This window comes from Homo sapiens, chromosome 8 (genome assembly GCF_000001405.40).
Source record: "Homo sapiens chromosome 8, GRCh38.p14 Primary Assembly".
NCBI lineage: Eukaryota > Metazoa > Chordata > Mammalia > Primates > Hominidae > Homo > Homo sapiens.
Genome location: NC_000008.11, coordinates 124,603,400 through 124,624,614, shown reverse-complemented (window position 1 = coordinate 124,624,614; position 21,215 = coordinate 124,603,400). Strand labels below are relative to the sequence as shown.

At 46.3% G+C, this 21,215-nt stretch overlaps 1 protein-coding gene and 1 long non-coding RNA gene across 36 annotated transcripts in view, besides 3 other annotated features; one reads left to right on the top strand and one right to left on the bottom strand.

The window, feature by feature from the left end:
• The window catches only part of MTSS1 (MTSS I-BAR domain containing 1), a 177,690-nt gene that overhangs the window by 103,859 nt on the left and 52,616 nt on the right, over positions 1 to 21,215 (top strand). Inside the window, exon 1 of one of the 34 annotated variants that reach the window (XM_047422488.1) lies at positions 2,131 to 5,348. The exons of the other annotated variants lie outside the window; for them this stretch is intronic. The gene's annotated coding sequence lies outside the window, so the exon portion shown is untranslated. Of the gene's footprint in view, positions 1 to 2,130; positions 5,349 to 21,215 lie in introns of those variants that run through there. 34 annotated transcript variants of the gene reach the window in all.
• Positions 2,908 to 4,107: an enhancer, noted in NCBI's record as "CDK7 strongly-dependent group 2 enhancer chr8:125632749-125633948 (GRCh37/hg19 assembly coordinates)". NCBI's record gives its function as "activates an origin of replication core promoter dependent on BRD2, BRD4, P300/CBP, MED14 and CDK7 cofactors, with strong dependence on CDK7, by STARR-seq in HCT116 cells {active_cell/tissue: HCT116}" and the evidence as "EXISTENCE:reporter gene assay evidence [ECO:0000049][PMID:35650434]".
• LOC124902016 (uncharacterized) lies at positions 8,870 to 17,878 on the bottom strand. Of its 2 annotated transcripts, none has more exons than XR_007061087.1 (2): positions 17,514 to 17,878; positions 8,870 to 11,773 (listed from the first exon to the last, which is right to left on the bottom strand). It is a non-coding gene; the product is annotated as an uncharacterized LOC124902016 (long non-coding RNA). The 2 variants fall into 2 exon arrangements; XR_007061088.1 differs by having other exon boundaries at positions 17,518 to 17,878.
• Positions 16,933 to 17,282: an enhancer, noted in NCBI's record as "active region_27889". NCBI's record gives its function as "activates an Ori minimal core promoter by ATAC-STARR-seq in GM12878 lymphoblastoid cells {active_cell/tissue: GM12878}" and the evidence as "EXISTENCE:reporter gene assay evidence [ECO:0000049][PMID:35858748]".
• Positions 19,190 to 19,259: an enhancer, noted in NCBI's record as "active region_27888". NCBI's record gives its function as "activates an Ori minimal core promoter by ATAC-STARR-seq in GM12878 lymphoblastoid cells {active_cell/tissue: GM12878}" and the evidence as "EXISTENCE:reporter gene assay evidence [ECO:0000049][PMID:35858748]".

The window sequence follows — 21,215 nt, the reverse complement described above, 5'->3', positions numbered from 1 at the left end:
TATTATTTGTTGGTGGGACTCCCAGGTGGAGGTACCTGGGCTTCAAGTGTCAGACTGCCCTGGGATCCTTAGCCCTGCCTCTGTCATTACTCTGGAGCTGCCAGGCTGAATAGACACTGCCCCTGTGATTCCCCTGTACCCATCCCTTTCTTTTCTTTTTCTGTGTCACGTCGTCAACCTGAGTCTAGGCTGCTTTTGCTCACCAGTTCTCTGAATGTCTGGTCCATGCCTCCCAGTTTCTCTTTTTACAACCTGGGCTGAGGATCTTCTGAAAACGTCCCTTCCCTGCTCAGAAAGCGGGTGCACTCTTGCTGTCTGAACGCGGAGCCATTTGGCTTAGAGCTCTCTGATAGTGCAAAAATAATAAATTGTGGGCTTGCTGCTTTCTCCTCCAGACTATGGTCCACTCATTGAGGACGGGGGCTGTCTTCTTCTTCTGTCCTATATGAGTCTTCGCACAGTGACAAACCTTTTCAAATAGGAGCGTGAGTGAAATGGGGGTTGAAAGTAAGCCTCTCTCCTTTGTTTTAAGCTGGTGTAACAGCACATATCAGTTCACCCACACGAAGCAATGGTTGATAGCTTCGATGAGCTGACAAGAAAGGAGGCAGTTTCCTTACTTTCCCAGAGAAAGGCAAGATGGCAGTGAGTTTTAGAAGGTGCTTAGCGCGGGCCCCGCAAGGTGGCTTCCGCCTGTAATCCTAGCGCTTTGGGAGGCCAAGGTAGGCGGATCACCGGAGGTCAGGAGTTTGAGACCAGCCTGGCTGGCCAACATAGTGAAACCCGGTCTCTACTAAAAATACAAAAATTAGTCGGGTGTGGTGGTGTGGGCCTGTAGTCCCGGGTACCCAGGAGGCTGAGGCAGGAGAATCGCTTGAACCCAGGAGGCAGAGGTTGCAGTAAGCTGAGATCACGCCACTGCACACTCACTCCAGCCTGGGTGACAGAGCAAGACCCTGTCTCAAAACAAACAAACAAACAAACAAAAAAACACAGAAGATCCTTCAGTGTTTCAGGTGCTCTTTGGTTTTTTTAGGCCAAATGCTTAAATTGGACAGTTAATTTTATGCATTTCTCTCTTTTGGGCCAATTTGTGAAGCCAGCAAGTGTTTATTGGACAGATGAGTTGTTTGGGGGAAGGGCCAGGGCATCTAACTCTTTTAGGTGTTGGATTTGGTTATGTTTGGTAAAAGAAAATGTGGCATTCACAAAATTGAGCCTAACCACATTTTCCAATAATTTTTGCCTTTCCTGTTGCTGCTCACAAAGGTGGTTGATCAATACCTTACTGGAAAAAATGTCTGAGGACATATGACAGGTTCACTATAGACATATGAGCACAGATACATGCAGTTTAGTTGTGTGTAGTCTTCGTAAGAAGGATAAACGTGTGTGAGTTCAGAAGACAAGAAATAGGGTTGAAGTTAAACAATTTTCAGTAGGGTAACCATACTCTGAAACAGCCAGTCAAGGCTTGTGGGAGACTTCTTATTGGAATCCTTCAGTCAAGACAGTTCTTTGGATTAGGAACCACTTGAGTGCTTCCTCTCATCGCAGTGACCTGCCCTCCTGGAAGGTGTGAGAAAGGCAAGCAGGCTGGATCGTTCTTACTGTTACACAGGGATGGGCTCGTCTGTGCTCTGACTTTGCCTTGGGCCCCATCTCCCTACTTTCCGGGTCAGGGAAGATTGTCTTTTGTGTGTTTGTGTGTATATTTAAGGTGTACAACATGAAGTTTTGATACACTTAGTGAAATGGTTACTATAGTCAAGCAAGTTAACATATCTATCATTTCTCATAATTACTTTTTTTTTTTTTTTTGAGATGGACTCCCTGCTCTGCCGCCCAGGCTAGAGTGCGGTGGTGTGATCTCAGCTCATTGTAACCTCCACCACCCGGGCTCAAGCGATTCTCCTGCCTCAGCCTCCCGAGTAATGGATTACAAGAGTATGCCACCAAGACCAGCTAATTGTTGTGGTTTTAGTAGAGACAGGGTTTCACCATGGTGGCCAGGCTGGTCTCGAACTCCTGACCTCAAGTGATCCGCCTGCCTTGGCCTCCAAGAGTGCTGGGATTATGGGAATGAGCCACTGCACCCAGTCATTTACCTTTTTTTTTTTTTTTTTTTTCAATATGGCAAGAGCTCCTAAAATCTACTGTCTTAGCAGAAATCCCCGGTATAATTCAATGTTGTTGACTAGGAGTCCTCATGCACATTAGGTCTCTGGGCGATGCATCTTGCATATCTGCCTCTCTGCGTCCTTTCACCTACATCTCCCGTTTCCTCCTTCACCTCCCCCACCCCTGCTCCTTGGTAACCACTGTTTTATTTTCTATGTCTTCTACTTAAAAAAATATATTCCACCTATAAGTAAGATCACATACAAGCAAGGTCATGCAGTGTTTGTCTTTCTGTGTCTGGTTTCTTTCACTTAGCATAACGTCCTCCAGGTTCATCCGAATTGTGGCAGAAGGCAGGATCTCTGTCTTTTTTAAGGCTGAAAAATATATTCATATTCTCTCTCTCTCTCTCTCTCTCTCTCTCTCTCTCTCTTTCTCTTTCTGTCTCTCACACTTTCCTTACTCATTCATCAGGGAGGTTCTTAACTGAGAGAGTGAAGCCACCTCGTGCTGGTGCATCACTGAGAGAAAGTAAACCAAACCCAAACCTGAAACGGATGGTTCAAGTGCCCAGAACCCACTTTCTGGTTGAATCTTTCTGACTCTCTAAGGGTTAGTAAGGATTTCTCTGGGGAAAGAGATAGGGGCTGGGCGTGGTGGATCACGCCTGTAATCCCAGCACCTTGGGAGGCTGAGGTGGGCAGATCACTTGAGGTCAGGAGTTCAAGACCAGCCTGGCCAACGTGGTGAAACCCCATCTCTACTAAAAATACAAAAACTAGCTAGGTGTGGTGGCGTGCACCTGTAATCCCAGCTACTTACTCGGGAGGCTGAGGCAGGAGAATCACTTGAACCCGGGAGGTGGAGGTTGCAGTGAGCCGAGATGGCGCCACTGCACTGTAGCCTGGGCGACAGGGCGAGACGCCGTCTCAAAAAAAAACACACAAACAGAAAGTGATAGGAACCCTTCCATCACATCAAGCCTGGTGCTTCTATATGATTGGAATGACGGTACTGATGCCCCCCTGGCAGACACCCCTTCTGCCCATGGGCCTGGCTTTCCAGTCCCTGTTTAAGGAAGACTGCCCCCACCAAGTGCCTCTCCCTCCTGGGGAGCTGGCCCCTTCCACTTCACTTCTGAGACCATGGCTGGGGCTAATGAGACTGTCATTAACAGTGCCTCAAACAAAACCTAAGACCATTAAATATTTAATTGAATTATTTCACTGCAGGGATATTGTGACTCATGTTGAAAACTAATCACCTGCTTTTTTATCTGGCCCTTAATAGATCTCTGGTTCAACATTTAAAGGTCAGAGTCATGGCGATCGCAGTATTGTCATTGTTTTCTTTCCTTTGTGGGTTTGGGTGGAGGAAAGGGGAAGAGTGGGATGCGTGGGAAGGAAGAGGAGTCATTGGAAGTTGCCTTTATCAGTGGAGGGATTCCAGGGGATCATAGGAGCTATGCTTCTTCTTTTCTGGCCTTCCCTGGTCTTGATTCCCCAGAGGGATACCAGGAAGGGGCTGGAATGTGGGTGCGGATGACCTCTGAACTAGGCGATCCTGTTTAATGCAAGAAACTGTATTCCCTGTCCAGCCATTCACGATACTGTTTCATTCGCTCTATCAGAGCTCAGTGAGGCGTTGAAATTCCATTGTTCTTCTTTTTAATTTAATTTTTTATGCAGGAAGATGAAAAGATGTTTTAAAATCCTCATGGTTTTTTCTTCCTCTTCTCAGTGTTATTACTATGTTAACAAGATAGCCATTCCTGCCACTAACATCTGTGCTCAGCCTGTGGTCAGGTCCTGACTTGAGTATTCTAGCAATAAAATCGGTGTACTTAATTAGCTTTTTAGGTGACTCCAGCCTGTGCTGCTGCTTGTACCATTTGATGGGAATTTCAGGAGGAAGGAATTAAGGCCTGTGGACGTGAAGACATGTGGCTGACACAGGGTTTATGTTGGTAAAAGATCAACTGTGAAATATTTGGAGTGTCCAATGCATGCCGTGACCTTGCTAGACACCCTTGGGAGTTGTAGAGCCAGTCCGATGCCCTCCACAAATACCTTGGATTTTCTAGAGAGGAGCAAAAGCTATTTCTCTTAGAAGATTTTAGTGTAGCATTTTCCCACAGACAAAAATGCCCAAGTTTGGGTATGAAGCCCCAACTGCTAACTTTCTTTGCATCTGTTGAAGATGATGAACAGGAGAAAGTTAAAGCAGTGGATAGAAAAACAGTTGTGCTGGCTGGGCGCAGTGGCTCATTCCTGTAATCCCAGCACTTTGAGAGGCTGAGGCGGGCGGGTCACCTGAGGCTGGGAGTTCTGAGACCAGCCTGACCAATATGGAGAAACCCCATCTCTACTAAAAATAAAAAATTAGCCAGGCATGGTGGCGCATGCCTGTAATCTCAGCAACTCAGGAGGCTGAGGTAGGCTTTGAACCCGGGAGGCGGAGGTTGCAGTGAGCCAAGATCGCGCCATTGCACTCCAGCCCGGCCAAGAAGAGCAAAACTCTGTCTTCAAAAAGAAAAGAAAAGAAAAGAAAAGAAAAGAAAAACAGTTGTGCTGTAATTTTTGTACTGTTATTGCCTGGCTGAAAACCAGGCCTGCCGCTGATGGCCCTAAAGGGAACCGCATCTGCCAGGACGACAGAGCGTCAGCAATGTGTTGGACTCATCATAAAGCAGACACATGTTTCCTGCATTATGGAGCTGTTGGGCCACATGACCTAGAAGCCCTTCTGGTGCCAGGAGTCTGAATTCCATGATGCTTACATCCAGCCAGCTAGTGATTGCAGAAAACCTTTAAAAAAAAAAGTCTGAAAAGATTAACCAGATCTATTTTGTGCAGGTTCATTTGTGTTCCCATTGGCTTTAATGACACCTCCTCCCTCCCAAATTTCACAGTGATTTGTTCCTTTCCTCTTTAACGTCATTCAGCGGTATTTTTTGAGTGCTGCTCTGTGCCATGCACCGTGCAAGAGAGGGGAGCCCCACCTGCAAGAAGCTTAGTCTTGGCAGAGGAGACAAAAAGTAAAGAGACAATGGCAGGACGGGTGTGACGGGGCACAGGGGTCTGGTTTAGGCAGAGAGGCGGGTCCCTTGGAGGCAGAGCATGGGAAATGCTGCTCAGTCTAGGTGATACCCAGGCGAGGTCTTAGAGGTGCACAGAATCCTGTGAGAAGGGCACCATCCCAGCAGTGGAGTGTACAGAAGCTGGGAGGTAAGCAGCTGAACGGTGTGTACAGAAGCTGGGAGGTAAGCAGGAGCAAGAACAGAGCATTTGGGAGCTGCCGGGACGCCTGTCACCTGAAGTGCGTGTGTTGGCAGGTTGTGATGATCTTGTTTCCTGCAAAGACTCTCAGATGCCAGTTTAAAAGAACACTTACAGTTCTGCCTTTTTGTCTGTTAACTTTAATAGATGTCAACTCCATGAAATTCTGGTGAAAACCTCCTTGCATGAATATTAATCACCTGCCGTTAACCACGTACAAGAAAATTTTAGAAAGGCAAACTTAGTAAACATCTGTCCAAATCATTTGGAGCAAAGCACTAGCTCCTTAGATCTTCCAGCCATGACACTGTTGTGTTAGTGTAAAATGACACTGAGGATGTGCAAAAGTTACTGAATCTAAGATTGCTTTGCATCTGTTTTCCTGTGTTCCTTGGAACCTGCTTTTTGTATTTGTTTTCTTCTCCTTTTTTCCAAGTATCTGGGAAAAGCCCCTCTTCTGGTCTGGTGTTTGTTGTACTGTGGATGAGCAGACAGCTACATTATGGAGAGCTGCCAGCTACCAGAGTCATTGCAGAGCCAGTGTGAAGGCAAATGCAGGAAACCTCATACTTGGTGTCTCCTTTGGATTGGAAAGAATGACTCTGAGCTCCTGTTCCTAGTTGCTGTCCTTCAACCTGGTCCCAGGTCATAAAGAGCAAGTGTGGTTTCAGCAGCATGTTCACCGAGTCTACTCTGCCAGCTGCCCAAGTATTAGTTTTGTCAACTGCAGATTAAAAATGAAAAAATTGGTACACAGACCCTGCCCTGTTGAAGTCATCTTTGGGAATCTGTCTTGTGATCATGTGGAACGATGCAACAGTTGCTTACTCTTGGCATGAATGAAGGCCAGAAATGTTGTGAAACAGAAAAGTTTGTTTTGGGTACTTGTCCATTTGCTTGGGAAAAATTGGTATGTAGAGGGTGGCTGCCTGTTTGCCTTCCACTGAGGTCTGGGACTTTGAAGTAGACAGGCCTGGGCAGCAGCAGCCTAAGAGATTTAGGTTATAAAGGCTGAGGAGTCTGGTGTATGGGCTTTGGAGGCACATGACCTCATTTGAAATCCAGATCCCTTGCATGTTAGCTGTGTGACCCCAGGCAGGTTCCTTACCCTCTCTGTTCAAAGGCATCTTGAGAATGTTATTATAGGAAGTATTTAGGTAGCAGTCCATTTAGAAGGGGTGAGTACTCTTACATGATACTTTACCCAAGACAGAAAACCTGCATAACCCACGTAAATAATTCATCTCCCAAAAATAGAGTCAGGGCGTAATGAGGGCTAATGTGCCAGGCCACCTCTTGGAAGTGCTATAGCCTTTGTGTCTCATTTTCCTCTTCTATGATGGGAATATTCATGCCTGCCACATAGAGTTGTCAGGGATTTTAGAAATAAAGTCTAGACGTTGCTTAGCACCAGGTTACTACTTCAAGCGAGGAGTATAAAACATGGTGGTAAATTTTGCCAAGTGACTTTCTTGGATCTCTGAGGTCACTGAGCTCCAGGTCCACTCTGATTTTGAGTGGCATGATCAGGTAGGTGAGCTCGCAGAGGGTGCCCAGGGGCTTGTGGTGGGGCTGGAGAATGGCAATCTGTGGAGATCCCCTGCACCCCTCTCGCCCTGTGAAACATCCCAAATTAAAATAGGGGGTTGCTGCCGTATAAAAAATTATTCTCTTGAAAATCTCTGGTTTAGGTGAGATCTCTCTTTGAAGTGCAAGATGATTTTTAAGAACCTTCCCAGCTCTCATGGTTCTCTCATAAGAAATGAAAGAACTGAATTCCAGGCTCTTTGTAATTGACCAGGAAAATTAGGATAAATGGGTTAAAGGAGTCAGAGGCCTTTGGGCCACCACGTCTGCTCGCGGTCTGAATGGGAGCCCCCTGGGACCCAGCGGGCTCTCTGGTGGGTCCTTGATCTCCTAGAAATGGAAGCAAGTGGTGAGACCCTGCCCCTTAGGGGCAGCTCCTGGTTTCCTTCACAGAACAGCAAAGAAAGAGTTGCCCCGCCTGCCTGAAAATCATTTTTCTTGCCGCTGGTATTCTGGGAATGATTCTGGAAAAAACATTAGGCATGGACTCGAAGTCTGACACACTCATGTGTGGTAGCGGTAGACACTGCCCTCGTTCTCTGACCAGACAGCATTTCCATCTGTTGGTTTACCACTTATGGACAGCATTTCCATCTGTTGGTTTACCACTTATGTAATCCTAATGAGAAAAACAGTGGGATTTGTGGCAGGCCAAAGTTCAGGTGAATTGCTAGTCTCTAGATGAAATGCCAGTTAATCTGATTGTTAATCGATCCCTATTTTTGTAAACTTGAAATGAAAGGTTCAAATTTGAAATGAAAAAGCAATCAAGATTTCAGCAACTCAGTTGCCTCCTTAGCGCAGTAGGTAGCACGTCAGTCTCATAATCTGAAGATTTCAACAAGTGAGTGCCTCGTTGCTCAAGGAGTGAATTGAGAAGGGCTTAGTTCTGTCCCTGATACTGTCAGTCTAGGTTCTAAGTTGTAGCAACAGAAATCACTGCAGAATCAGACAGGGAAGTTGCTGAAGAATGTGGGGGAGTCCAAAGGATCCCTTTCTCTCCTATGTTTTGTGTTCCTCTACTCTAATACCTGGGAACTATCCGTTTCCGTCTGCTTATGTGTCTCACTCTCTGGTGAGACCTGGACTGACAGCAGGGACAGTCTTGTTTGCTTTTATTTTTCCTCTGCCCAGCACTGACATATGGGGGTTGGGTCACATAATCTAGCCATGGGCAGGATGTCGGAACATACTGAAGCATATTGGTGGGCTGAGCTCAAGTAATAAAGCTGATTTTTTTTTTTTTTTTTTTTTTTTACTGCCTGAAACAGGCACACTTAACAACAGCCGCAGCAATGACAAAAACCTCATGAGAAGATGCCTGGGTCAAGGGTCTTACTTCCAGCAGCTTCCCTGCAAATCCAGTGCAAATAAACATAGGCTCTCCTTTGCAGTTTGTTGCAGTGGAATCTTGTCTGTTGCATGCTGAAGCGTAGGATGTTAGGCCTCTTCTGACATCACAGCAGAGCGTTTGCATGTTCATGTTGAATGTGTTGGTTTGGTTTATCTGTGCCCTGAATTTGGCATCATGAACTTGCACTCTTGGTTCAGTTGGAGGCGGAGGTGGCCCAGAGCCGTGTGGATCTGTGCTGGTGTCACCACTGATGGTGGCAAAGGGAAGAGTGATGCTGAGGAGGAAGCAGGAGAATCCTGAAGGTCGAAGGCCATGGGGCCCGGCTGCCATAATAGCCATAGCGTCTGGGGCACTGACCAGGAGAAGGGTGCTGGCCTCAGCCCTTCCTCCTGTGATCCTGAACGGCTGGTTCTAGGGCCACCAGTAGTTCTAGGCTGATCTGGTTAGGGAAGGAGGCACTGCTTGTTCTTGCCTCAGTTTCCCCTCCAGAATCATCCCCAGAATAGAAACCAAAGCTATAATGAGATCATTGGTTTTTAAAAAAATTTTAATTTTTAGTTGTGGTGGAGTGTGCATAATATAACATATACCGTCTTAATCATTTTCAAGTGTAGAGTTCTGTAGTGTTGTGCCACAGATCTCCAGGACTTTTTCCTCTTGCAAAACTGAAGCTCTGAACCCATTCAGCAACTCGCATTTTCCCCCTTCCCCCCAGTGCCTGATAACCACCATTCTCCTTTCTGTTTCTGTGAGTGTGATTCTGCTAGACACCTCGTGGAAGTGGAATCACAGTATCTGTCCTTTTGTGGCGGGCTTATTTCACTTAGCATTATGTCCTCAGAGCTCATCCAGTGTTGGAGCCTGTGTCAGGATTTCCTTCCTTTTTTAGGCCTGAATAATCCATTGTATGTATATGTTTATCTGTTCATCCCCAGCAGATATTTGGGTTGCTTCCACCTCGTGGCCACATCCCTAACTTTTAATCCTTTCCACCGCTCTCCATTTGCCTTGGGGTGAGAGCTCTGCCTACCCCCCAGCATGGCTTTCCTGAAGCCATTTCCAGGCCTGGCCTCCTCCTGCCTCTCTTGCTCTAACCTAATCCTCTCACTGCCATGCCACATCCCTGGCACTCTGGCCACACTGGACTCCTTAGAGACCCTCCAGGCACGCACTGTTCTCTTGTACTGCCAGGCCTTTTTTGCACGTGCTCTTCTGTTCATCTGGAACGCTGCATCTTCCCGCCTTCTGGAACCTCCAACATACACTGTCTTCCTTCCATCTCAGCTTAGACAAGCCCTTCTTGATCTCCTCCTATCACATTGTGTCATCCAGTACTGTTTATCTGTCATTTTGTACCACTGCGCCTGTGTTTATTTTAGGGCAAGGACTATTTTATTGACTAATCCTAGAGTCTGTGCATGGTAGGTATGGATGATTTAGTAAACACATAAAATATGTCATTCTTTCAAAGGCAGGAGCCTCTTCCTTTCCTCCCCCTGCCCTTTTCCCCTTGTCACTAAAATCCATGTCCCAGGTTGAAATTGGGTACTTCTTTCCTATAGAAACATTGTTATGGGACATGGTCAGGTTCAGTAGCATCTGATGCGGGTATATAATGGATTAAGTTTGCAGGCCAGCCTGAGAACTTAACTACCATTCATGACATTGTTTCTTTGGGGAAAAAACATACCCATTTCCAAAACAGCTGAAGCATAGTCTTCTGGATCCTGCGCCTCTTTGTGAAGTTGGCCTTTGCTGGTGGCTCTGCCACTGGTTTGGAAATCAGAGATGGTTTTTCCATGCCCATGATGAGGACAAAGGTGAGTGTCCCCTGTCTCCACATTGGGAAAAGAAACACACCCATCCCTTAGAAAGGAGAGGGAAATGGTATTGCGGCCTCACTCTCAGATGAGTAAAACCTCCTGAGAATTTAATGTGTGATTGTTTTTATAAATGTGACAAGTCCTGGTGTTAGCTCCTGGCCTCCAATTGAGCAAGGTTTCAGTAGCAGGTAATCCCCCTGTTCTTTCCCCTAGCTGTGTGGGGCGGGACCCATGTCTTTGCTACCACCTCTTGCTATATTCCTACCCTTTTTTTTTTTTTTTTTTTTTGAGGCAGGTATTTGCTCTGTCGCCCAGGCTGGAGTGCAGTGGCATGATCATGGCTCATTACAGCCTCAGCCTATTGGGCTTAAACCATCCTCCCACCTCAGCCACCCAAGTAGCTGGGACTACAGATGCAGACCACCAAGCCTGGCTAGTTCTTAAAAATGTTTTGTGGAAATGAGGTCTCACTGTGTTGTCCAAGCTGGTCTTGAACTCCTGAGCTCAAACCATCCTCCTGCCTCAGCCTCCCAAAGTGCTAGGATGACAGCCACTGTGCCCAACCATATCCCTAACTTTTAAACCTTGCTGTGGCTGAGAACAAATTAATGTAGTTTGAAGTTTACCAACAGGGAAAACAAAAGGAAAGAAAGGGATGGGGCAGCAGAGCAGGCAGTGCCATGACTCAGTTCCACTCAGATCTCATTCTGGATTTGACTGGGGTAGAAACCAGACTTTAGGATGCCCATGACTCATTGTCTATGGAAATAGCATTCTCTTAGACTTGTGCAGTCAGCTACCTGTGGAGCTGTACGTAGCAGCCCCCATAGGCTTGAAGGACCTTTCTGTAGCTGTCTTTGGAGGCAGTGATACTCTCCTCCCAATTGTTACACACATTTCTGCATAGGAGTTGATACATGAAACAGGAAACTCAAATACATTTTGCAATGAGTTGAGAAGTAAATCCAAAACCAGATTTAGCTGAGAGTCTTTTGTTGCATGAAGCTGTGCACACAAAGGCAGTGAAGAGGTCTAGAATAAGACAGCTGTAGGTTTGCGTGTTAATTGCATGATGATCTGACTACGTGTGCACAGGGCCTGGCACTCAGCATCCTACTTGGATTATCTCATTCAATCCTTGATAACACTGTGGAGCAGCTCCTGTTGGATGAAGAAACAAAGATTCAGAGTAGATGTCACCCAAGGTTATACCATTGGTTGGAGGGAGAGCTGGAACAGTGACCAGGGATATCCAGCTCCAGAACCCTGAATCTTAACCTCTGTGGTATACTCCTGTTCGGTGGGTTGCCCTGAGCCAATTGTTCTGCTCTCTGAGTCTTGCTCCTCATCTGTAAGATGGTCCTCGGGCGGCTGAGTGTATTGAGAGACAGCCTAGGTATAGATGCATACCTTCAGGAAATAGGCCATCCTTCTAGGGCCACAGAAATGCCCCTGAGACCTTTTTTCCTGTCATAGCACCGTGCTCTGCTTTCTGAGAACTGAAATTTGCAGGGATAGCCTGCCTACGGAATTTGTCCACTTGTTTAGTGGGGCTGGATGGTGGTTGTCCTATTTACTTAATTCACTTGATGGGTTTCAGTCTTTTGAACCTAAAAAAAATAAGAAAATGGGATTTGTTTAATCTCGTTTTCCAACACAACAGTTCTTAATCTGCTTTCGAATGTTTGTTTGTGGGCTGAATACAATTCAGTGTTAATCTAGTGACCTAGTATTGCCTGGTGATGAAATCTGTCCCTGCCGTTAGGTTCACTTGTGTTTCTTTGTGTTTCTCTCTCTCTGTCTCTCTTTCTCTCTCGTACACACACACACACACACACACACACACACACACACACACACACACACACACACACACATTTTAAACTTGGTCTTTAAAATCTCAGTTTTTCCTGCTTAAGACAAGAAGATCCCTGATGCCAAGATTTCTACCTGAAAGGTCAGTTTCAGCTTTGTAACAACTGGGTAATTGTCTCCTAAAATAAACCAGCATCTCAGGGACTGCAAGCTTGTCTTCTCAGTTATGTGAATGCAAATCTCTTCTCTCCTAATGACTACCCTGCCTATGCCGTTTCCTGTGGGCATGTGCAGTCATCTGGAAATGGCGGCTGCCAGTTCCACAGCTGGGGACGACCCTGGCTTCTTTTCTGTAATGAGGATGTGTCTGCTCCTGCCATTGCCCCACTCTTTGTCCTCTGCCTTGTGGTCAGGAGCTGCTCTTTGTGCTTTCTTTTTTCCCCAGTTGTTACTGCTGGGGGAAACTGTTGGGAGTGGTCCAATGTCACCCCTGTAGGATGCTCACCAAATCGATACTAATTCCTGCAGCAGATAATTCCTGCCTGAAACTTTAAAGTTTGCTAATTAAGTACCATTAAGATTATTTGCTAGGTTCTTCCCCAAATGAGTGCTGGGTTCCTGATTGGGAACCTTGGTAGAAAAGCCCAGGGGCTGCATTCTGGCGTTCTGTGAGCCCCACAGGCAGCAGAGCTGTCCCTGGGGTAAGCTTTGGTTCTGGGGAGGTCCCTGTTCACAGGTGCCATCTTCACATCAAATCTGCTTCTGTGCAAATACGCTTGAGTGTCTGAGATCAAGATCATTTTACGTCATGCAAATCTGTTTTATTTCTCCAGTCTTCTTTTGGGATGGTAGACATTACTGATAAGGTACTAAGTAAACTGGAGTTTTAAAAACAGGGTATTTCCTTTTAATATTTCTGATTCTCTTTCTCATATGAAATGGGCCATTAAGCTTGTTCAGGATGGTGGTCCCAGGTCTCACTGTGTCAGCCCGGAGTGATTACTGAAAGATGCCGATGGTATCTAAAGGCCATCTGTAAAGTGTTGAGGTGGGTGGTGAGCTGAGGGACGTGGTGAATTGAAGGGAGCCGAGGGTCTGTTCTGCATGGACAGAATGGAAGTAGGCCTGTAGGAGAGTATCCCAGGCACCTGTCTTGGTGGAACCTCACTGTAATGGGGGGATGCCAGCTGACAGCTGGAGGTCGTGTGTTCAGGTCGGCTGGGCCTGAAAGTCTCCTCCACAGGTCACGCCGCTCCTTGTAGCAGCAACACATGGGCAAGGTATTTACTTCTCCTTCAGTGGGGCTTGTATCCACTTTTGTGATGTACGTCACTTACCCAGCAATCCCCCCAGCTCACCCCTGGCTCTTTCTCCCAATCTTGGTCTATACAAATATATTCCCCTGTGAGTTACCTAAGAATCCATGTGCATTTGTCTCAAAAGATAATTGATGGGCAGGGCCCTGGGAGAAGCCATCTTTAGTGATGCTCTACAGAGGTGACTGTTGAGTCACATGCTGGGGGGGGGGGGTCTGTCTGGTGGGTTTGTGCACATGTGTACTCAGGCACGTGCACTGTTTCTACAGCATGTGGATACAAGGCACCTGGCTGTGGGTTTCCCCATGCAGCCTTCCACATGGTTCATGGAATACCACCAGGGTCCTTGGTGCTGTTTCCATGTAGCATAACAGTGACAACCATGGATTTCCAGGTGGCATTGAATGGCTAGAATTGGAAACTAGCTCTGTATTGGAGACCTGGGAGAAGTTACCTTCCAGGCATTTTTTTGTTTCGTTTGGGCTCCTTGAGCTCATGGCAGGCATTGCCAGAGCCTAAACCTGCTGCTTGGAAAGGGGAAGGTTCTTCAGGTAATTACTCCCTCCCTTCTTGTACCTCTGTTCACCTCACTCCAGGGATGATTGAAGAAAGCTCCCTACCATCTTCCTCCTGGCATGAAGGGGAGCAAGTTCTCTGGTCCTGGAGATGTTTCAACTGAGTCCAGATGACTATTTGGCAGGGACGATAAAGAAGAAATTCTGGTGTCATGTGAAACTAGGTTACCCCTAAGGTCTCATGCAGCTTTTAGATTCTCCTAGATGCTGACGGTTCTTTAGAAAGTGGCTTTAAGAAATCCCAGGGCTGACTGTTGAGAATACCATTTGGTAGGTTCCCCGCCCTTCTTTATGCGCAGCCAAGTGATTGTTGTCATGGCAACAGATCTGTTCCCGCGAAGGCTTTTCTTGTAGCATATAAGGGGACCTGAAGCTTCAGAGATTGTTAGTAATTATCTTCTAAAAAAATATGTCTTGAGTACTGTGAGCATTTTAATGGGCCCGGTTCCAGCCTTATGGGTACTTTTGAGGTCTGTATCAGCCCCATGTCACAAAATAAAACGACTTGATTCGTTGTTTTGTTTTCATTTTTTTCTTTTGTGCATGTCTAATATGGAAGAAGAATCACGATCCTATTGTTAATACCTTGCACATAGTAGGTGCTCATATACTTAATTTTATTTGACAGGCAGGCAGAAAAGCTGAGGATTGATCTAAATATCCTTTATTAGATTAGCAGTTACATATGTTCTTTCCCTAGATGACCTTGAATCACAAACTAGGCAGGCCTCCCGGAGCTCACAGCTTTATGGTCCAGATCTCCTGTCCCTGTTGTTTGCACATCACCAGGGAGAGGGGATCCATGGGTGAGTCTGATATGTATGAAGAATGTCTCATTTCCCCCCACCCCAGGAGCTCAGAGTCAGCTCAGCTGCCAAAATGTCAGGAGTACCTGCTCTTCAGAATAGGATAGTGTCCAAGTTTTAAACTCTTTCCCCTTTATCTACAAACATCAATTGAGTCTTTATTCTAAGTCATGCATTTTGCTAGATACTGAGAATTCAGGAATGGCTCACACGTAGTTGTTCCTCCAAGGTGGTCGCTGTCTAATGAAGGACACAGGCCCGTGGAGCAGTAAGCCCAGGACAGCGCATTAAGTGTGAGAATGCACTTGGTCCCCTTAGTCTCTCTTTCCTTCCCTGCCTTTGAACAAAGGCATCCCATCCTATTTGCAAGGACTGGAGGCCTCTGAACCACTTCTAATCCTCTGCAAGGGAGAAGATAAAAGCTTACTCCTTGCCCACCTTTTTATACCAAGTCACTCTGAAGGTTACGTGAATGTCCTAGACATGGGAAAGATAGGAGCAGGTGGGAACCGAGGGACTCTTTCTGACCCTTAACTCTTCTGCTGTCGAGCCACTTTGCCCTGAGACGTTGTCAGCCCTCCCATGCTCTCCCTTTCCTCTAGACCGGGGTTGCCATTTCACTCGTTGGTAGGAGGACCTCTGGTTAAATGGAAGAGTGTGGTTTGGGATGGGACACTAAGGCGAGGGGTGGAGAAGCTTCATCAGCAGGAGACTGTCCCAGCAGCAGACCCTGTGTCCTTTAGTGGTGCAACTGGCAAACAGTCATATTTACTGTCTCAGGACATCCCGTCAGCTGGATTTCACCTGGCAGGGGCTCTGTGTGGTGATGATGTTCTCAGGGAGCTGGGGAAAGTATTCTGGCTGGTGAAACATTCTAGCCCCTTTCACTCCAAGTGTGGTTGGTAGTCTAGCAGCAAGTCAGTATCTTCTGGGAACTTGTCAGATATGCTGAATCTCTAGACCTTCTGGATCAGAATCTACATTTTAGCACAATTTCCTGGTGATCCTTGTGTATACTGAAGTTTAATAAGTTGTGTCTTGAGCTCTCTTTTGAGATCCTAGGCCCAGGGTAGCAAATACAGAGTCTGCATCCTTCCACTGTCCTGCGGTTGTAGCAGACATTACTAGCTGATCTAGCCAATCCATTTTCCATCTAGCGCATAGCTGCCCACAGCACCCTCCACACAGTGCCCCAGGCATCCATACACCTGATCAGAATTAGCCCAAGAGATAAACTGATTTACCATCCTTGCCTTTGTCTATGAAGAGCTCATTCTAAAAAAGTAACTAACATAAAAAACAAGGAAACAGCTGTTTGCATAGGCCTTAAGTGTTGGGAATTAGGACCCCCATCATACCCCAGGGCAGTGGGAAGGAACACTCAGGCCCACTGCTTGAAAAGATGTCGGCAACCTGAACATGCACAATACAGTGGCGATAAACCAGACCCTACTGGTTCTCTGCAGTTGGGCAATGACCTTGTCGGAGGAGGCGAGGCCATGATATTGCTGGAGGAGGCGAGGCCATGATGTTACCCTGGCTCCAGTGCTCATCCATGGGACATGTGGTCAGCCCCTGTGTCCCACAATCCCATTGCCTTCTGGCAACTTCCTAACTGATGACTGAGCCACAGTCAGGTTTCAGTCATTCATTGGTAGTTATTCTTATCTGCATTTTGTTAGAAGAACACAGTTAATAAAGTGGGTGTGGGGAAGAAAACAGTGCAGGAGAAGGAGAACTGGAAGAGGAACCAGAGTGGCTTGAGTTATCTAGTAAAGTCTTCATTACATGATGTGACCAGCTCTCAGAGGGGCATCTAATACAGAGCAGTTTAGTTTAACCTCAGAAGGTCATCAGGGTGCTAGAATCATGTCCCATTTTCATGGTAATTGGGCAAGACTGGGAAAATGTTTTGGGAATACACATTTTATCTTCCACTTCCAGCAGTGGCTTCTAACCACTGAGGACTCTCCACGTTACCAATCTCTACTGACCTACCTCAAGCTTTGTAAAATCTTATTTACCGAACAAATTACATTTTTAAGTAATAATTAAGCCCCCCCTTTTCTGTAGAGATATATAATAACTGTTAACCTGGGGTCATTTTTATCGGGCTTTATATAATTCCAACAGAAAGCAAAGGACTGTGAGTGCTTAAGTTAGCCTGAGCAGTAAAGAGGCTTTTAGACCTACTGAGAATAGTTTTTGGATTCACATTACCACTGCTTGACCTGAGACTCGATTTGGGAGCTAGAAACTAAAACCAGTTATGCCCTTCCATTGAATAGATGGAGGCTGGGAGGCTCGGGCTTGTCTAGCTTGTAGGGACTCAAGGGCACTTTGGTCGTGTCACGGTGCTGCTTTCTCTCCTGCGCAAGCCTCATACTTGCTTTCTCTGTTGAATGGTAAAAGCCAGCCTCTTGTTTGCTATTCCGGGGTTAGAATTTCAATTCCTTTTTTAAAAACTCTGTTTAGATCAGAAACCATCCAGACACTCATTCAGAAACCATCTGGGGAAGGTATGACTTGAGATAGAAATTGAAGAGATAGAGAGGAGGAGAAGAAGATAGTATACGAGTTAGTTTAAATGACCCCAGATGAGTTTGGCCGGGAAATCAACTGCAGAATGCATCCTCTGTCCCTGGCCTGTATCCCTCAAGGGCCTTTGATAGAGTCTTGGCTTAGTTGCAGCCACTTTTCCTCTAGAACTTTAACTCAGTAAAGGTGTGCAGTAAAAATGGGGAAGAGGGATGAGGAGGAGCCAGGAGAGAATCGAGGAAGAGCAAATATTACGAGCGTAGAACGCGAAGCTTGGCATGTCTGCCTGGTTCCACTTACTCACGTTTGTTGAGCTCCTTCTATGTCTGAAGCTGTTTCTAAAACGTCAGTTTCTAGAAAACAGGATCCTGAATTCAGCTAAGCATGATTCCCAGGGCCATCCCTGGGAAGCTGTCCTGAAGATGCCTCCTGCTAAGACAGGTTGCGGAGGGGAGTCAGTGGCTGAAAGGGTGATTTCAGGATAGATTGTCCTGGCAAATAAGGAGGGGTCCTCTGCATGAATAAGCAGTGTACCCTGCCAAAGGAAGCTGGCAGGAGGTGATTCCTGCTGAAGCCTGACAGTACATGTCCACCCTGAACTCATGGCCTTGGATGCAGACCGGCCAACTGTACACAGTTGAGCGAGGAAGTGGCGACAGCACGGTTTGAATCTGGCTGATAAAACAGATGTTCGGGGGAAGGGCTCTTATTTTCTCCCAGTTATAGGATCGGGGGTGGGGGAAGAAAACCTAATTCCCTATCTGCCAAATGTTTCTGTTGGTAATGTCCTGGCAACAGTGAGATGCCCCCAAGAATGGAGTGGTTGAAAGTTCTAGCTATCGACTCAGCCCTGGATGTAAATTCTGAATTCTGTGTGACCTTGGGCAAGTTACTTAACCTCTCTGAGTACCCTTGGCCTCATCTGTAAAATGAGGATAATGATACCTACTTTTGGCGGGGTGCAGGGGCTTGTGCCTGTAGTCCCGGCACTTTGGGAGGCTGAGGCAGGTGGATCACTTGAGATCATGAGTTTGAGACCAGCCTGGCCAACACGGTGAAACCCCGTCTCTACTAAAAATACAAAAATTAGCTGGGCGTAGTTGTGGGTGCCTGTAATCCCAGAATCGCTTGAACCCAGGAGGCAGAGGTTGCAGTGAGCCAAGATCATGCCATTGTACTCCAGCCTGGGCCACAAGAGTGAAACTCTATCTCAAAAAAAAAAAAAAAAAACAAAAAACCAAACACAGAAAACACAAAAATTAGCTGGGCATGGTGGCACATGCCTGTAGTCCCAGCTACTTGGGAGGCTGAGGCACAAGAATCTCTTGAACCTGGGAAGCAGAAGTTGCAGTGAGCCAAGATCACACCACTGCACTCCCAGCACTCTAGCCTGGACAACAGAGTGAGACTCTGTCTCAAAAAAAAAAAAAAAAAAAAATGAGATACCTACTTTATAATGGTACCTATAAGAGGAGTATAATGAGATTTTAAAAAAATGAATACAACATTCCTGCAAGGGTTTGTCATGTTGCAAGCACTCAGTAAATGGGAGCTATTCCTAATAATATGAAAAACTGCAAGATTACCTCCTAAGAGATGATAAAGTCGCTATATTCTGGCATAGTTTGGGGATGTACAGAAACCTCTTAAAGGAATAAAGTAGCTCTTAGGCCAGTGACACATGCATGAAACCTGATTTTAGGTGCTAGCGGGTTCAAGGATAGATGTTTATCACAGGGAGTTCTGATCTCCAACGGGAGCCCAGCGCGAGGGCAGGGAGGGAGGCAGCGCGAGGGCAGGGAGGGAGGCAGCGAGAGGGCAGGGAGGGAGGCAGCGAGAGGGCAGGGAGGGAGGCAGTGCGAGGGCTGTCTCCGCAGAGTCCCAGCTTAGAGCCATCCCTTTGTCAGGGATAGATGTAGCAGGCTCTTACTCTGATCCCTAGAACACTAACTCCCTGATTCTGATTCCATATTCATCTGGCCACCTTCTGAATTACCTGACAACCCAAGAAGGCTGACTGGGAGATAATCCCTGATCCAGATACTGTGAGCATCTTATCTACCCGACAGTTAAATTTTGTGAACTAAGAAAATGACATGTGGTTTCTGCATCAGGCCACAGCTGCTTCGCTGGCAGGAGCTGGCGTCATCGAGTCGCTCAGACCTGGCTTCAGCAGGAGCATCTTTCTGTGCCCATGCAGCAGAGGCAGACCATGGCAATGGGGGGTTCATGGTGGCAGATGTCGGGGAGACAGCTGGCATTTCCCAGGTGACACCCCCACAGGGTGTTGCAACCAGACACCATTCCATCCAAAACGTAGACAGGGAAGCCTCCCTGTCGGAATGTGTTTGCTGTTAATATGGTTTTCCCATAGTGTGAGCGTGTCCGTGTTTTTGTGTTTCCATATTACCATTCTCGCTTTGCTTTTAAAACAGCAACAAAGAGGAATATTGGTCTTTGTGGCTGCCAGTACGGTGCATGCCAGAATCTCATGCTTGCTGGTCTGAAGCCGCCAGATGGTGGTAGGATTGTGTGTGGGTTTTGTTTCCTCTGCTTTTTGAAAAGTCGTGAAGTGGGAGAGACTGAGAAGTGGGAGATTGGCTGGAAGATTATCATCTGATAACAGTTTGCAGTGTCTTCCACCCTGTGTGTGGGCACAATGGTGTCTTCCAAAAATGTGATGCTGACCCTACCTAGCATTTGCTGAATGTGCAGTATTAGCTGTCCCGTAAACACCAGCTGGGTTATTCATTACATACTCAGCTGTATACAGTAGCTGAATAAAACAGGTTTTTTAAAAAAAAAACCACACAGGAAATTTTCTGCATGTTTTTCTCTTCCTTGAAGATTAAAATGAGTTGTTAGGATTGCCATTGTAGCAAAAGGGAAGTTGTACTTCCTTTTTTGGGGGCTTTATGGGTTTATTTTTGAATATCTTTTCAAGTTCTTTTACCTTTGTCCTAAGGAACCTATTTTCACAGCTTAAAGGACTAATGTTTCTCTTCTCTTAGTTTCCTTGAAATCAGATTGTGTGTTTGTTGTAAGAACATTTAGATCAAGCTTGTCCAACCCATGGCCTGTTGGCCCCATGCGCCCCAGGATGGTTTTGAATGTGGCCCAACACAAATTCATCAACTTTCTTGAAACGGTTTTTTTTTGCTTTTATTTTATTTTATTTTATTTATTTTTAAGATGGAGTCTCACTCTGTTGCCCAGACTGGAGTGCAATGGCTTGATTTCGGCTCACTGCAACCTCCGCCTCCCGGGTCCAAGCGATTTTCCTGCCTCAGCTTCCTGAGTAGCTGGGATTACAGGCGCCTGCCTCCACGCCCAGCTAATTTTTTGTATTTTTAGTAGAGATGGGGTTTCACCACGCTGGCCAGGCTGGTCTTGAACTCTCAACCTTAGGTGAGCCACCATGCCCAGCCTGTTTGTTTTTTTAGCTCATCAGCTATCATTAGTGTATTTTAAGTGTGGCCCAAGACAATTCTTCCATGTGGCCCAGAGAAGCCAAAAGATTGGACACACCCGACTGAGATGATCTTGTAAATGGCACAGGCAAAAAAGTTTGTGTTTTGCAGCCATTTTCAAGGCTAACATAAGGTATCAGGACGCTGCTCAGTGACTTATGTGTGACCAGGGTCTCTAATGATTGGAGAGGGGATATTTGTCTCGTGTGAACAGAGTCTGATCTCTGTGAAGACTTGTGATACCAGAAACTGGTTGCTTCTCCATTTCCTCCCTCTCTGCCTCCCCTCCCTGTAGTTAAACAAATGTAGGGCATCAAATGATGCCACTTTCTTCTGGTTGTCCATCTCTCCATGCCCAAGGGTAAAAATAAAATGCTGATGAAGCCAGAGGAACACAGTTTGTTCATTTGAAGTTCTTAATATCCTGAGTGCTGACTTTGACCTTTAATGAAAATGATGGTCCTTTTGGCAGGGGCCAGCTGCCTCATAAATGTGCAGCTTAAAGAACAAGGATGAGTTTCCCTGAACAAGA